The sequence below is a fragment of the Homo sapiens genome, chromosome X, assembly GCF_000001405.40.
Source record: "Homo sapiens chromosome X, GRCh38.p14 Primary Assembly".
Taxonomy (NCBI): domain Eukaryota; kingdom Metazoa; phylum Chordata; class Mammalia; order Primates; family Hominidae; genus Homo; species Homo sapiens.
Window position 1 is genome coordinate 10,755,543 of NC_000023.11, and position 18,227 is coordinate 10,773,769.

Genomic DNA, 18,227 nt, shown 5'->3' on the forward strand with positions numbered 1-18,227 from the left:
AAAGGCAGACTACAGCATGACTAAAACAGAATCTCACCACCCCCCAAGCCAGGGGTCGTTATCGACAGCATAAAAGCTCAGGTGGCAGCTGTGGAATTCCAAATGAACTAAGAAATGTGGAGCGAGCCAACCTAGTTCAGCGGGAAAGAATGTCAACAATTTCCCCATGGACTCCTGGGAGCCTGTTGTGAGCACATCTCTTTATAGCCTTCAGAGAAACAGAGGCATATGAAGAACAGCCCGGGGAACTGAGAAAGAGTTCCAGAAAGTTTAGAATGTCAGAGATGGCCCACTGAAGTAAAGAAATATGAGAACAAAATTGAGGTGGGGAAACTGGTGGAAAGGAGACAGTTTGCTTCTGTTTTCTGTTGCTAAATGCTTTCCTGTGCTTGCCCGCCCACATGCTCACAACTTATGAGGAAGCAAGAAAAGAAGCTGCACTTTGCAAAAAATATCTAATGAATAGAATTCTACTCTGTGATGTGAATCTATCACTAATTTTCTTGGTGACATGACACCACCTTAAGAAATGAAATGAACAAGATATCCAGGACATAATCACATTTCTCTGTATATGCACACATACAGCTTCATATGGACATGCAAAATTAAGAGCATATAGCATACGGCCACTTATGACAGGGCATTTCTATAGTCCATATAAATTAAGCTCCTTTGGAAGGAGAAAAAAATCCCATGCTACTTATTTATGCAAGTGTTTTCAAATAAGTTTCTCTATTTGATAAGTGTAATGTAATCATACACAAGCGAGCAATGAAATTAGAAATAAAGACATTGCATGTTAGGAGCAAAGTAGGCAATTTCATAAGGAGCTTTTAATTCTGAGAGCATTTCGAATGGAGTATTTGAATTGATTTTATCTAATTAATATGCTAAATTACAGTGAACAAAGAAAGACAAGTACAATCGTGTAGGGCATGTGGACTTGTAGCATTTCCAAGCAGGGAGGACCTTTGGGAGTCTCCAGTCCAACTCCCTCACTTCACAGACATTCCTACCATGTGAAGTCACACACACAAGCTCGGGTCAAGGCTACGTGTCCAGTCACTTATGTATGCATCAGAAGGGGGAGATAGACACACACTCAAACACACAGAGAAAGAACATGAAAAACAATGCAGCATACACTTGTGGCAATGTACTCTCCTGGAAGAAAACATACAGGTTTTGCAGAGAAGAGGGATTCATCAGATATAAAGTCAGGCCTTTATGTTGTGGGCTGAAAGCTCAGGTGGCATATATAGATTTCCAGATAAGCTAAAAATGACAAGTGTGCAGAATTCACTTGCAAAGGCTGCCAGCACTTTCCCGGGCATTGGACCCAAGTTGCATTGCCATGTTACCTCTCTGTTGTCCTAAGAAATTGAAGGTGCTCTCACCATGTTTGAAAACCTCCCAAATTAAAATCACCTCTATGACATGAATACCAGGAGCACCAGGTCTCAGTCTCCATAGCATTTTCATTGCTCCCTGCATGCACCCAGACATCTTAGCATGGTGGTCCTTGAACTTGGGCATCAGCCTCAGCTGGAGGGCTTGCCAAAACAGATTGTTGGGTTTGACCCCGTCAGAATTCCTGACTCAGTAAATCTGGGTGGGGCCTGAGAATCTGCATTTCTAACAAGTGTCCAGGTTGTGCTGCTGCTAGTGCAAGGATCACACTTGGATCCAACACACTGCACTAGCACAGCTTAGGTTTGCTGAAATTGGATTACCGAGTTGACAGATGAAAATGATTCTCTTTTATTGGACCACATAATGGATGTGTGCATCTGTCACCTGCAGATGAAAGTGGTGGCAAAATGTGAAATTTCTAGCATTGCCATCAGGAAAATATTGACAAGCATCATTAGGAAAATTTTCCAAAGCGGGGTTTAAATGATCTCCATGTGCAAGATCAATGGGATGGAACATCTTTTGAAAAGTTGTTTCATCAATGAAAACTAAAATGAATACTTGCTGCAATTGCTGAGGTTTATGCATGCAGTTCCAAGAAGTGTGGAGAATTTTTAAAAGTCATTTTTTTTGGATTAAATTAAGTATTTCTGAAACTATCTCATTAGAAAAGAACTTTTTCATTATTGAAACTTTACATCTGAACTCTTACTTTTTAAAGTATTACATAGTTTAAGCTGGATGTTCTTTTTCTTGGGTTTTACTTTTCAACAGGAAATGGAACTCTATCGAAATAAAGAAATAAATGTTCTGCTTACATGTGCTATTCTGAACAACGTAGTTATTTATAAAGGGGGGTTTCTATTTTTACTAACTCAATATGTACCAGAAAAAATTAATAATTTAAATACAGATTTGAAGACAACTCAAAATTTTATTAATCCTAATAATGGTTTTAAACCATATTAATGTACATCAATTGGTCTCATAAGTCACTTTATTTATTTATTTATTTATTTATTTTTGAGACAGGGTCTTACTCTGTCACCCAGGCTGGAGTGCAGTGGCATGATCTCCGCTTTGCAGCCTCCACTTCCCAGGCTCAAGTTATCCTTCCACCTCAGCCTCCCAAGCAGCTGGGACTACAGGCATATGCCAGCATGCCCTGCTTTTTTTTTTTTTTGTTTTGTATTTTTTGTAGAGATGGGGTTTTGCCATGTTGCCCAGGCTCGTCTGGAACTCCTGAGCTCAAGCAATCTGCCCGTCTCAGCCTCCCAAAGTACTGGGATTTCAGGTGTGAGCTACTGCACCTGGCCTCATAATTCACTTTATATTTTGCATTAAAACTAGTTTGTCTATCAAGACAGATAGAAAGTGTCCTTGTTCTAAATAGGTTTATTTGTTCTCCTTATTACCCTCATCTGAATCTGTAGGCCACTGACAAAGAGTTTTTTCAGGTCTCCAAATGACTCCATGTTTTCTTGAAACCAGTCTTTAAACAGTACTTTTTCTTTCTTTTCTTTCCTTTTTTTTTTTTTTTTTTTTTTTTTGAGACGGAGTCTCGCTCTGTCGCCCAGGCTGGAGTGCAGTGGCGTGATCTTGGCTCACTGCAAGCTCCGCCTCCCAGGTTCATGCCATTCTCCTGCCTCAGCCTCCCCAGTAGCTGGGACTACAGTTGCCCGCCACCACGCCCAGCTAATTTTTTTGTATTTTTAGTAGAGACGGGGTTTCACCAGTAGAGAGATGGTCTCGATCTCCTGACCTCATGATCCGCCCACCTCAGCCTCCCAAAGTGCTGGGATTACAGGCTTGAGCCACCGCGCCCGGCCTTTAAATAGTACTTTTTCTGTGTTGCTCTCCTCCAAATTTAACTAAAAGGGATTTTATGTCTTGTTTGTAAGCTTCAAGAAAAGCTGCAAAAATTTAAAGAATACAAATTAGAAATTATATCAATTTAACAAGCAAATGAAGCAAACAATTTAAAATCTGAACACAGTTTATTGCTTTTTCACCGGCAGGCAAATGATTATGTTCCCACAGTGTAAACTTTCCTATTTTGAGTCTTTTATCCTGTAAAACACTAATTCCTTTATCAGGAGGTCCCAAATAGAAAATACTCCTTTTTCAATGGACATTGACAACACGCATGTATGCTATTATTACGCACTGAAGGTATAGCTGAACTCATGCAATCTTGCTAGTAATTTCACTTTGGAGATTTGTGATAAGATATTGCCATAGAATGAGACTTTGAAGACATTTAGTCCTAAGCGAGTGCTGTTACTCAATTTTGCATAACAGTTTCACATTTGAAGGAGACCGAGGAAATGCTGGCGACGCAGGGCTGAGGCACAACTTTGATGTGGGGCCTCTTGGTAGTGGGCCAAGTGGTTCTAATTATTTTCAGAACTTTCTCTTGCAGTGGGAAGGAGTTGGAAAGAGGATCACATAGGCGCACAAATCTGGTTCCCAAAGTGAAGTGAGATGAGAAACGCTTCTGGTGATCTATGCCAGTGACGGGTGAGATAATCTTCCTTCCTTCCCCTTTGTGATGCCACTTTCAGCAGGATGCTTCTTCCTCTGCTCACCTGGAGCGCCTGTGACTTCTCTCTCCCTAGGGGACGGGGAGGGAGTGCCCTGATGTTTCTTCACTGCCTCCCTGGTCTTCCTCTGACCCCACCCTCCGCCACTCCCCCAACCCCATTTGTTTCTTAGCCACCTCTGTCATTTACATCACTGTGTTGCCTGCCCCATACAGGAATCTGCACCCATTTCATTTGCACAAGTTCCCATTCTCAACTCCTCTTTTCAGGGACAATTCAGCACTCAAGTTCTCTAGCATAAGAAATGCCTGTGTGGTTTGTAAAGCACAATTTACAAACAGATACAAAAAATTTTCTAAGCGAGTGAATTCAGTTGCTTGATACATTAGGCAAGAAGAGGCCAAATGGGAATCTGGGTTGGAGTTGTCCGCTGACTCCTGAGGACACTGATCTTCTCCTAGCGGACTCTCTCGCATAGTCGCTGCTAGCTTTGCACAAGCCTCTCTTCCAGGTACACATAAACTTTGTTGATGAAATCCTCATACCGTTCTGAGAAGCATTTTTTCCAACCAATCTGATTTTGGAGTTAAACACATTGCATCAAGTCGATCACAAATTACACCTGTGATAGATCAATGCTCAGTGCCTGACAATGTCCTGGATAGTCAGTCAAGGGCAGGTGAAGGCTTGCACTCGGGGGGAAGTAAGAGAGCACACTGCCTTTTATAAATCTACAATTGTGCCAATTCTGCAATGGTTACTGCATATACTGCTCACGTTTCTCTTTTCATTCTTCTGCTGGTTTGCTTAATTGAATCCCCCTCTCTCTAAAGATATAAGAATGTAATATCACTTACATTCTTTATGCCAAAACTGTAAAATGCCTTTTATTTTCTTGGATATGTCTCAGATAGCAAAGAAAATGAAAATTTTACATTTCCTTTTTATACTGTCCCCACAAACATCTCATAAACATGCTTTTGCATAGGTATAACTTGCGAGGGGAAGTATTAATATGGAGTTGTCTTTGTCTTCAAAAAACAAAACAAGGTCGGGGTGCAGTGGCTCTTGCCTGTAATCCTAGCACTTTGGGAGGCAGAAGTTGGAGGCCAGGAGTTTGAGACCAGCCTGGGCAACATAAGGAAACCCCATCTCTACCAAAAATAAAAAATTAGCTGGATGTTATGGTGCCTGCCTGTAGTTCCAGTTACTCAGGAGGCTGAGGCAGGAGGATTGCTTGAGCCTAGGAGTTCCATGCTGCAGTGAGCTATGATTACACCATGTCACTGCACTCTAGCCTGAACGACACAGCAAAACCCTGCCTCTAAAAACAAAACAAAACAAAGACAAAAACAAAACGGAAAAACCCCATCATTGCCATAGTGTCTGTTAATCACTGTGACAAGTCCGTAATTATCTTGCTTGCTCTTCCAGCTGGGTAGAATCTATAGAATATTTAAACCAATCCATACCTCCCGCCTTGAAATGAATTGTCTAAGCTTTGCTATCATGTTATTTTCTATGCTATTACTTTATTTTCTATTAATGACTGTATGAGTGCCTTAGAACAGCAGGAAGTTATTATCTTATCACACAGCTGATATCAACCATTATCTCTCACTCAGAACAACAGACAGCAAGGAGATGATTCCTTTTACCAAAATGTAAGGCTAATAATACATTTAAGTAAATTGTTAAGAGAGTCTAACTATGTAGATCCCATGTTCAGCTCCTTCATTTTACACACACACACACACACACATACACACACATCTGTGCACTAACGAATTTTCTATAGGTGAAGAATATGCTGCTTTCCTCAAATGTTTATGCCTTTTTAAATTTAATCAATGATGCAGTATTCAACTGGGTACCAATAAAGTTTTGTTCTCTGACCAAGTACACTGGAGTGCTGGAAGATTGGCCCCAATCCTTCACCTCTCCCTGTATCTCAGCCCTTTGCCACAGTACACTGTGGGCAGGGTGTACTTCTTTGCTCCTTGTCTTGGTCACATGACTTGTTTTGGCCCATGGAATGAAGCAGAAGTGACAGTGTACCTATCCTAAACCAAGGCTTCAAGAGGTCTTATGTGTTTTCACTTGTTCTCTTTCAAATTTGCTATTGCCATAAGAAGGACATGCCTGGGCTAGCCTGTCCATACAAAGAGGAGGATGACAAGGACTTAGAGTAAAGCTCTCCCCATGCCAAGCCCAGGTTAGCCAACACCCAGTTGATTGGTAGACTTGGGAGACATAAGTGATAGTTTTTCTAAGCCACTATGTATGAAGGTAGTTTGTTATGGGGAATTAGGTAACTGATACAGCATTAAGTCGCCATCAGGTGGGTTTGGTTTACAGCATTGATTGGTAGTGGTTCATTTCATTAGCTTAGTTTTAAATTTGATATAATGATACGTTAATATTACTCAGTATAATCTTAGGAGAATCATAATAGAAATAGATTGGCTTTAACTACAGAGCCAGATGACTCTATATTTATAGAGAGGGAAAATTCCCTTATCTTTCAGAACTTCGATGTTTGCACATCTGTAAAACAATAATTACAATATTTACCTTGAAGGGTAGGAATCCATGGATAAAGTATGTGATCTACCCAGCATATGGCAGAACAACAAATAAATGTTAGCTATTATTTTTATTCAGTACAATCTGTGAGAGAAAGTCTATTAATACTTGGGTCATTATTTGTATTCCTTTTTCTTTTATTTCTTTTAATGTTTTGCTCATTTTCTTCCGGTTTTACTTATATAACTCTTCGCTTTTCCTTGCCTTCTGAAAAATTCAAGTATAAAGTCTACCATTCTTTTTGCCCAGGGTCCAAAAGGATGATTTACCAAAAATGGAAAGACCCACTGAGCTATTTATACTGCTCTGGACACAAGTTTCATCTTATGGACACATTTCCATCTTATGGACACATTTCCAAACACAAACACAAAGTTTGTTGTTGTTGTTGTGTGTTTTTTTTTTTTCCAATATCGGCTCACTGCAGCCTCAACCTCCTGGGCTCAAGTGATCCTCCCACCTCAGCCCCCCAAGTAGTTGGGACCACAGGCACATGCCACTACACCTGGCTAATTTTTTGTATTTTTTGTAGAGACAAGGTTTTGCCATGTTGCCCAGGCTGGTCTCAAACTCCTGAGCTCAAGCGATCCGCCCGCCTTGGCCTCCCAAAGTGCTAGGATTACAGGTGTGAGCCACTGTGCCTGGCCTCTAAACACAAAGTTCTTTTGAAGGAAAATCAAGCAGAGCAGATCACTAAACGTATTCCTTAAATATGTTCTCTTCCCTCCCCTATCCTCCATAAAATCCCACAAATAAGTATCAGATATAAGTGAGATGCTTCCTAATTTAAACCCATGATCCACTGTGTAGGAAGCAATGACAACAGCAAGACGTTTACTTTCCTTTATGTTGTAGCCACAGAAGTGATCTTAGTTTAGATAGGCTTGTCAAATGATTTTGCCAAGAGTGGGCAAACTTTTTCTGAAAACGGTCAGATAGTACGTATTTTCCGCTTTGTGGGCCACATGGTCTCTATCCCAAATATGCAACTCTTCCATTGTAACATGCAAGCAACCATAGACAATATGTATAGAAATTTACATGGCTGGTTTTTTTTTTTTTGCCCTTTTTATTTATTTATTTATTTTTATTATACTTTAAGTTCTAGGGTACATGTGCACAACGTGCAGGTTTGTTACATATGTATACATGTGCCATGTTAGTGTGCTGCACCCATCAACCCGTCATCTAACATTAGGTATATCTCCCAATGCTATCCCTCCCCCCTTCCCCCCACCCCACAACAGGCCCCGGTGTGTGATGTTCCCCACCCTGTGTCCAAGTGTTCTCATTGTTCGATTCCCACCTATGAGTGAGAACATGCAGTGTTTGGTTTTCTGTCCTTGTGATAGTTTGCTCAGAATGATGGTCTCCAGCTTCATCCATGTCCCTACAAAGGACATGAACTCATCCTTTCTTATGGCTGCGTAGTATTCCACGGTGTATATGTGCCACATTTTCTTAATCCAGTCTATCATTGATGAACATTTGGGTTGGTTCCAAGTCTTTGCTATTGTGAATAGTGCCGCAATAAACATATGTGTGCATGTGTCTTTATAGCAGCATGATTTATAATCCTTTGGGTATATACCCAGTGATGGGATGGCTGGGTCAAATGGTATCTCTAGTCCTAGGTCCTTGAGGAATCGCCACACTGTCTTCCACAATGGTTGAACTAGTTGACAGTCCCACCAACAGTGTAAAAGTGTTCCTATTTCTCCACATCCTCTCCAGCACCTGTTGTTTCCTGACTTTTGAATGATCGCCATTCTAACTGGTGTGAGATGGTATCTCATTGTGGTTTTGATTTGCGTTTCTCTGATAGCCAGTGATGATGAGCATTTTTTCATGTGTCTTTTGGCTGCATAAATGTCTTCTTTTGAGAAGTGTCTGTTCATATCCTTCACCCACTTGTTGATGGGGTTGTTTGTTTTTTTCTTGTAAACTTGTTTGAGTTCATTGTAGATTCTGGATATTAGCCCTTCGTCAGATGGGTAGATTGTAAACATTTTCTCCCATTCTGTAGGTTGCCTGTTCACTCTGATGGTAGTTTCTTTTGCTGTGCAGAAGCTCTTTAGTTTAATAAGATCCCATTTGTCAATTTTGGCTTTTGTTGCCATTGCTTTTGGTGTTGTAGACATGAAGTCCTTGCCCATGCCTATGTCCTGAATGGTAATGCCTAGGTTTTCTTCTAGGGTTTTTATGGTTTTACGTCTTACATTTAAGTCTTTAATCCATCTTGAACTAATTTTTATATAAGGTGTAAGGAAGGGATCCAGTTTCAGGTTTCTACATACGACTAGTTACATGGCTGTTTTCTATAATTCACCGACAGCTGGTATAAACAATAAACTCTAAGACAAAAATAATGATGATATTAAAATAAAATTAGCCACACTAAAGTTCAAATATGTTCCTAATATAATATTTACATTTCATGTAAATATCTCTTGGGTTTATCTTTTAAACCTTAGAATTTTTTTTAAAGCTCTGTGTATGATAATCAAAGGTTAGATTTTATTTATTGTATCTATCCTCATGGTCTGAAGTTTCTCAACATTTACAGAACAGAATTTCTTAGCACAAATTCTGCCTGGCAGGCTGGTTTAATTTAATTTCTGTCTAATTGTTCTCTGTAGGACTTTCATTCTGTTATTTCTACATATGTCAACATTGGGTCTATGTGGCACCCATGTAATGGTATTTCCACCTATTTGCATGCTATGCCATCCTATTTTGTTGGTGACCATATTGGACAATACACTTTTTGCTTTCTAAATAGTAATCAACAGGAATATCAATGGTAATATATATTTTTCCCACGGACTTTTCTGTAGAACCTCTCCTTGGCTTCTGAAAGCTTATAATGAAGGCATACTCATACACCATTTTTATTTAGCCCTCATCATGTTAACAGGCTCTCACACAAACCCAATAATTACTGTGGTTCACTCTTGTGGAGACTGGCTAACTAACATGCTCAGCCCATAAGAAAAATATTAGGGAAAGGAACGCACACTCTCCAGGTTCACACTCACCCAGCTGCCCAGACATGCTAAAGAAGTATTCATGTGTGAGCCCAGTTTGGTGTGCAGATGTTGGAGAATGGCTTGTGAAGACCTCCATGATAGCATTAAGCCTTCTGCAGAGTGAACTAGCTCAAGATGAATTTTTTCCAGGTTTTCATCATTAAAAAGGTTTCATTTACCAAGATGGGTTTCAGCAATCTCACAGTGTGACATTGATTTTATGGTGTAATTTAATCTGTACTTAATTTCAAAGGCTGGTATTCAGAGATAAAGCTAGACTTTGCAGTATATTCCTCTTGTGAGGCACAATGCAGGTTCCTTCTGTCTTCCAGAAGAAATGATTTATCATGTAGCATGCGATTGATCAAGCCATGGGGTTTCCTTTCATCTTTTAGCTTGTCTGTATTCACAGTTTTTAAGGCTCTTTTCTTTTACTGCTCATATTTTTATTATTTTTGGTTTTAAACCATTATAGCCAAAAATGTTGCCAATGTGGGCTTTTTAAAAATTCTAGTTTATCACTGTTAATGTAAAGAGTGAGTCAAAAAATTCATGTGAAACTGGAGTCCTGGTTTGAACAATAAGCATGTGCAGAAACATCACTGTTTTTAAAAGCTCACTTCCCAATACCATATGAAAATAAACGGATGTTTTTAAAAGCAGAATTTGTGTAACAATTGTTAATAAAAAGCTAAAAGCTGACACAAAACTCTTTCATCTAGGAAGTATGCTGTCTAATATCATGGATGCTAAAAGACAAAAAGAAAGAAAGAAAGAAAAGAAAGAAAGAAAAAGAAAGAAAGAAAGAAAGGAAAGGAAAGGAAAGGAAAGAAAGAAAGAAAGAAAGAAAGAAAGAAAGAAAGAAAGAAAGAAAGAAAGAAAGAAAGAAAGAACCAAAACCAAAATGAAGCTCAAATCTCAGAAACAGAACCTCTTGCCTTAGGGTCTGAGCAGGGAGAATACACTCAAACACCCAAGGGGAGACAGGCAGGGTGCAGCCCTGAGGGTACTGATGGGACATAAGAAAAAGACCAACAATCGTGCCACAAAGGCCCCATCGGCTCTGCCTCTGTCTTGGGCAGACAGTTGGTCATCTCAAGCTCACCAGGAGCAAAATTTTTGTCACAACTGGAGAGGGTGTGCTACCATCATTTAGTGGGTAGAGGATATGTAGGGGACTACTACAGATCCTGCAACCTACAATGCACAGGATAATCGCCAAGCCTGGCCTGGAGGGTGGGGCTGGGGGTGGTGGTCTATGGTGAACTGGAGAGCACAAGCCTCCCTATAGGAGCAACATATCCAAGGATCCGGCTGATGTGGTCATGTGGGAATGTTCCATGCAGACACAGAACCAAACCAAACAAGGACTTGAGATTTCTTCAGAATACAATGGGATGACTTCAAATTATATTTAGAGGCAGATGAGAAGAATCAAAATTTCTTAAAATATTTTGCCAAAAACACAATAAGAAGAAAGCTGACTTATTTCAACCCAAATCAGATTAAAGAACTGGGTAGGGCTGGACATGGTGGCTTTAACCTGTAATCCCAGCATTTTGGGAGGCAGAAGTTGGAGGATCATTTGAGGCCAGGAACTTGAGACCAGCCTGGGCAACAAGGTGAAACCTCGTCTCCATAAAAAGTATAAAACTTAGCCGGGTGTGGTAGCATGTGCCTGAGTCAGGAGGCTGAGGCGGGAGGACTGCTTGAGCCCAGCAGGTCAAGGCTACAGTGAGCCATGATCATGCCACTGCACTCCAGCCTGGGTGACAGAGCAAGACCCTGCCTCAAAAAAAAAAAAAAAAGAAAAATAGTTGGGTAAATAATTGGATTTGGACTCACATGTTGACACAGTGACGCTAAAACGAAGATGTCTTCTGGGGCTCAGGGCACACAACCTGGGTGAGAGCAGCCTCTATGTCCCACATTTTAGGCTAAGCATCTAACCCATAAGGCTCCATGTTAGCATCCTCAGTCAGCCTGTAATGGAAATTCAATGCAGGCAATAAATGAATTTCATAGGGCTAACTCTTTTGTTTTAAATTTAGAAAGACATTTAGTAATCATAGGGACAAACTGGGTATGTGATTGAAAACATTTTTAATGTTTAAGAGATTTTGGCTCATTAGAAAATGGGCATATTCATTCAGTCAATAAATATTTGTCAAATGATTAAATGTATTAGCCTTTTGATTTCTTTCTTTCTTTCTTTCTTTCTTTTTTGAGATGGAGTCTTGCTCCACCAGGCTGGAGTGCAGTGGTGTGGTCTTGGCTCACTGCAAGCTCCGCCTCCCAGGTTCATGCCATTCTCCTGCCTCACCTCTCAAGTAGCTGGGACTAAAGGTGCCCGCCACCACGCCCAGCTAATTTTTTGTATTTTTAGTAGAGACGGGGTTTCACTATGTTAGCCAGGACGGTCTCAATCTCGTGACCTCGTGATCCACCCGCCTCGGCCTCCCAAAGTGCTGGGATTACAGGCATGAGCCACTGCGCCTGGCCTTGATTTCAATTTTAAATGTGAAATTGATTTTAGGCTTGTGATTGTAAGTTGAAAAATATAACAGGATTTTACTGTTTGGTAAATAATACTGGACTCTTTAAGTGACCTTTCAATTCTCTCAATAAGTATGAATATTTAAAACATTTAATAAGCTAGAAGACTTAAAAGTTTAAATGGCAAAATCTAAATATTTAAGAGTTTTAATGGTAATAAATTGAAATATTTAATGTTTAAATAGTAATGAAATTAAGTATACATATTTATTGAATAAATCAATGTATTTATTAGATTTATAAAAGTTGTTTACGTTTCTAGAAAGAATTTGCTTGTGTGGGTTGTACGTTTGCCCAGCTAGACAGATACTTGAATGGTTAAACAGAAAACTGAATATATTGACTTTATAAATGTACACTAACATGTATAAAGAATTTTTGCTAATTAAGTTTATAAATGAGAGCAATTGTTTGAATTTAAATTGTTCAGTTCAAATTTAACTCTAATCAAAACCCTCTGTGAAACGAGTTGTTTTTATTATATATAAAAGATACTGGTATTATTAATATAAGCAGAAAAATGAAACTTTTTTTTAAGTTGAACTTAAAAGCTTGAGGAAAATCTTGATTTTATAATCATAATAAATTAATGTAGATTTAAAGGCTATATAACTGTAAATAGCCCTTTCTAAATAAAAAAAAAGAACAAGAAAATAAGAATGCCAGTCTTAGACATTTAAAAAATTATGAATAACAGCTAAATTTGTCTTTTGGCAATCAAGAAATAATGTTCTCATTAAACAAAGGTGATGTGTCAGAAGGGCGTGTCACTTTCAATGTGCAGTAGGATGCTGAGGATATAGAATCAGTCCCTATCTTATCATCTTGTGTCACTGGTTCCAAAGTCACATGATTTCTGGAGCCAACTCTGCATGCCTCATTTACCTCTAGGACAAAGGACTTTATGGCTCTGGGCAGATAAAACAATGGGGGCTCAGTTACCATTCAACAGAATACAAGAATATTAGTTCTGAAAGGACCCTCACTCTCCTCCTCACTTTTAGAGAAAGAACACTTTCCCCAGTGGTGAAATGGCCAGGACTGGTCCTTGGGGGCAGTGTTAACTCTCCATCCAGGGCATAAACTTTGGAGGACATTTCCGGCAGGGTTATTTATATATTCTTCCCCTTCTGTTAGTTTCTTAGGGTATATTCCACCATATTTGCCAGTTTTTATATAACAACGGCTCCAAACCTCCATGAATTCCTTTTCTGTTTGAGCAAATGAGTAATGGGGTGCCACAAAACAAAGTATATGGAGACAACAAACTTCTGAGAACTGTCCAACAGTGATGTGTGAATGGGTGTGCACACATGTAGGAGGGGACATGAAAGTGTGGAATCTACTTTTTTTGTCTAATTTTCTATCGTTTACAAAAACTTGAAAATGATACCAAGACTATGCTACACAATATCATGACATGCAATTGTTAAAAGAGGCATATTACTTTACTTTTTTCTTTCCTGCTCTGCCTATTTAGAAAATGTATCCAAATAACCCATGATGGCACTTTATAACAGCCAGAATTGATAGTCAGATAGCTCTTAGGCTAGTAAGCTGAAAATAAGAGCTAAACCCTCTTTATCCTACCGCCTTAAAACAAAACAAAAAACAAAACAAAAAAACCCCAAACAAAAAAAAAAGCCCAGTAGGCTCTCTATGTGGCAGTAAACCATATAGTGCCATCTACTGGCTGTTTACTAATACGTGTTATTCAATCAGGGCCACCAAACAAAGGCATTAGATGGGAGACATGGGAGAAGCAAGCTCTGTCCTCACTCTTTCCTCTGTGCCTTGAGACTGTTGTATGCCCTCGGAAACACAGAGATGGCAAAGCTCCTTCTATGAGAAAGCATTTCCCATTTCCACTGGGACCCATTTTTTTCTTTCTTTTCTTCAAAGAAGCACACAAGAACTGAAAAATACCTTCAATTTGGCTTGGCCATCAACAAACACATTTCTAAGCAAACAAAGATTACGTTTAACTCCCTCATTTTCTTTTCCCACTCCTGTTCTTTTCAATAAAAAGATTAACTAAAGCTGGCCAACAAATCAAGGCAAATATCTGGAGACTTTGAATCCTGCACCGAGGCTTCATACCGCCTGGACAGAAGGAGGCAAGGATAATTGAGTGACGACTACTCTAGCATGAAGTATGCTGTTTGTTTCTACTTGTTGGTTTCATGTTTCAATTCATTGTGGCATCAGGGCAAACGGATTTTTGTGTAAGCTCTTAGCTGAGATGATACTGCTGAGCTTTTGACTGTCCTGCCATTTCCCTCCATGAATTGGCAGGAAAAATATTTATATTTTAATCAAATACAAATACACATGAAACAGTCTTTTTAGGAGTTTCTTTTCCTGTGTAATGAAGTGAAATGAGGGGAAACGCTGAACTGACTAATCAGATTCGCCACTCCAAAGAAGCTCAAATGTCATCTCTATGGCAACATGTCAGCCAGGGTCCGCCCTCATCTCTTCCCTCAGACTGCAAACTGCACGTTGCCACTGCTACATGAATTAATGTGGAGAACACACTAAAAACAGTGAGATTTGGCTTATGAAGAAGGATCTTAAGGTTGATCCCATTCATGTAACACTCTATCCTGTTTTTAATTTTCTTTCTTCAAATTGAATTAGTCTTTGAGGACCTGCTTCACACAATGGCTTCACTCACTGGCTCCTCACTCTGTGTTTCAGAGGGATGCCAAGTTGTTGAGTCCTTTGTTCTGGGAGGGGACTGAGGTCATTTGCACTTTGGACCCCAAATTGGGCAAATCTCAGAGAGGTGATGCAATGCAGAAGGTGAGTCCAGTGTATATACCAGGGAACTAATTTTACCATCTTAAGAAGGCATGCAAAAGTTTATCTATTCATTGGAAGATCACCTATTGAAAAATATGTTATAGTTTTCTGACTAAACTCATCACAGGCTAGTGTTTACGTAGGTAGTCCATTAGTTTTAAGACCCAGGAGAAATGTCCCTTTCATCAATCATGTGCCTCATATTCGTGTTCCTTATGAGGGAAATTAATCTGCACAGCTCCTCTAAATTCTTCATTTTATTATAATTAGCTATTTATTTTTATCTGTTCTTAAAATTGTGGAAAGTGGCTCAGAACTATCTTCCTTAAGATTCTTTTTATACTTGGCTGGGTGCGGTGGCTCACGCCTGTAAATCCCAGCACTTTGGGAGGCTGAGGCGGGTGGATCACGAGGTCAGGAGGTCGAGACCATCCTGGCTAACACGGTGAAACCCTGTCTCTACTAAAAATACAAAAAAATTAGCCGGGCGTGGTGGCGGGCGCCTGTAATCCCAGCTACTCGGGAGGCTGAGGCAGGAGAATGGCGTGAACCCGGGAGGCGGAGCTTGCAGTGAGCCGAGATCGAGCCACTGCACTCCAGCTGGGTGAGAGAGAGACTCTGTCTCAAGAAAAAAAAAAAAAAAAGATTCTTTTTATACTTGAAAGCCTTAGAGTAGGATTTCTACCTAGCTTTCAGGCAAGGAAGCCAATTGGACAAAAGCAAATGTTGCAAGAAGCCAAATTCACTGAGTCTACCTATTGTAGGTTTAATTGTTTTAAGTGGAATGTTGTATTTTAGTGACTAATATATAGTTTCTCAAAATAAGGTAAATTAAGAGTAGGCAGAAGAATCCTAAAAATGCTAAAAGTCTGGCAAAAGAGAAGTATAAACTTCTCATATGGAAAACTATTTTTGCATCCCCTCAAATTGGTATTTATATGTAACAGGATTTTTTCAATTTCTTCTGTTGCTGTCTGGATGGTTTTAAACGACGCTTTCTATTTTTTCACATTTATCTATGTTTTTTTTTTTTGATGGAGTTTCATTCTTGTCGCCCAGGCTGGAGTGCAGTGGTGCAATCTCAGCTTACTGCAACCTCCACCTCCCAGGTTCAAGCAATTCTCCTGCCTCAGCCTCTCTAGTAGCTGAGATTACAGGCGCCTGACACCATGCCTGGCTAATTTTTTTTTTTTTTTTTTTTTTGTATTTTTAGTAGAGATCGGGTTTCAGCATGTTGGCCAGGCTGGTCTTGAACTCCTGACCTCAGGTGATCCGCCTGCCTGGGCCTCCCAAAGTGCTGGGATTACAGGCATGAGCCACCGCGCCCGGCCACATTTATCTATTTTTAATTGATTATTAGTCATTTCCTAGTATATTAAGCAATCCAAAAATTTTAAAACTTAAATGTTTAAATGGAATAAAAATTGCTGGTGGGAATGTATAATACAACCACTATGGAGATTCCTTAAAGAACTAAAAGTAGAACTACCATTTGATCCAGCAATCCCACTGCTGGGTATCTACCCAGAGGAAAAGAAGTCATTATACGAAAAAGATGCTTGCACACGCATGTTTATAGCAGCACAATTCGCAATTGCAAAAATGTGGAACCAACCCAAATGGCCATCAATCAAGTAGTGGATAAATAAAGTGTGGGGTGTGTGTGTATATGTGTGTGTGTATATATATGTATATATGTGTGTGTGTATATATATCTATTTCATCATATATATGATGGAATACTACTCAGCCATAAAAAGGAGTGAATTAATGGCATTTGCAGCAACCTCGATGATATTGAAGACCATTATTGTAAGTGAAGTAACTCAGGAATGGAAAACCAAACATTGTATGCTCTCACTCATAAATGGGAGCTAAGCTATGAGGATCAAAAAGCATAAGAATGACACAATGGACTTTGGGGACTCAGGGGGAAAGGGTGGGAAGGGGGTGAGGGATAAAAGACTACAAATTGGGTGCAGGGTATACTGCTTGGGTGATGGGTGCACTGAAACCTCACAAACCACCACTTGAGAACTTACTCATGTAACTAAATACCACCTGTTCCCTGAATAACCCATGGAAATAAAAAATTTTTAAAAAATGAAAAAAAATTAAATAGAAATTAAATTAAACTAAATTAAACTTAAATAAGTACAAGTAAAATTTTAAATACAAATTCAAAAATAGATCAAATAAATAAGAATTTAAATAACAATTGAGTTAAAATTTATATTAAATATTTAAATTTAAATTCAAAAGCAAAAAGCAACAAATTGCTAAAACAATTCCATCATATGATTTGATTATATATCTGTACATATATGTATAAATAAAAAATATATATGTATAATACATATGTAGGTGAGATATGTTGAATGATTTGACATGAGAGGTAAAATCATATAAAGTAGTGAAAAGGGAGTTTGGAAGGCCAGAAGGGACATATGAAGGGTTAAATGAGTGGTAGCTCATCTTTAAAATATATTAACTATAAGTATGAAATTGGACTTGAAGGATTAAAAAAATAAATTGGTTAAAACTTCTAAAAATGCTGAAAGATAACTGTAAATGAAAGTACATTAAAATATTTTAAAAATTTAGTTTAAACTGAAAAGTAATTCTGATATGATTATTGATAATGAAATATGTAGTTCTAAATGTATTTAATGTGCTTTATTAATTATTAAATAGATTGTATAGGAAATGCACATGTAACCTATTATCAGATACTAAGGTGGAATAGTTCTGTTAAAGCTGTTTAAATAGTCCTTGGAACACTCTAAATGCCATTTAAAAAATAAATCAGAAAATTTATGTATTGCCTTTGATGAATTAACAGAGCCATTATGTGTGTGTGCATGTGTGAGTTTGTGTGTTTCAAATCTGGCTATTTCTTACCTCTCTTCCCTTAACCATTGCGTTCTGACCAATGAAGAGAAGAGCAGATTTAGTATTTTCCATTTTAGTGCTATAATTCTGTTAATGCAGCGCCTGTTTGGTTCCCAAGTGACATGTGTCTTATCTTAGCTTTCGTTCCACTGATACTGCCACATATTTTTCACTAGAACTGATGTTAATCAAACTTTCTCTGATTCTGCTGTTGTGCAGCTGATCTTTTTTTGAACCTAAGTACTAGATTTTTCCCCTGGTTACATTTTATCTTGTTTTGTAAATTATGTTGTATTGTTTGTTATGTATTAGTTAAGTCTGCTCTGCTTTACTGGAAACCTCTTGTCAAATCAAGGATGCGGCTTCTACCTTAGTCCACTGCAAAAATAAGTAAAAAAGA

At 38.8% G+C, this 18,227-nt stretch overlaps 1 protein-coding gene across 1 annotated transcript in view, besides 1 other annotated feature; it reads right to left on the reverse strand.

Annotated features, from left to right (window-relative positions):
* Nucleotides 1-18,227, reverse strand: part of MID1 (midline 1) — a 388,374-nt gene that overhangs the window by 310,233 nt on the left and 59,914 nt on the right. The window lies entirely within an intron of this gene.
* Nucleotides 13,791-13,840: a silencer, noted in NCBI's record as "silent region_20657". NCBI's record gives its function as "represses an Ori minimal core promoter by ATAC-STARR-seq in GM12878 lymphoblastoid cells {active_cell/tissue: GM12878}" and the evidence as "EXISTENCE:reporter gene assay evidence [ECO:0000049][PMID:35858748]".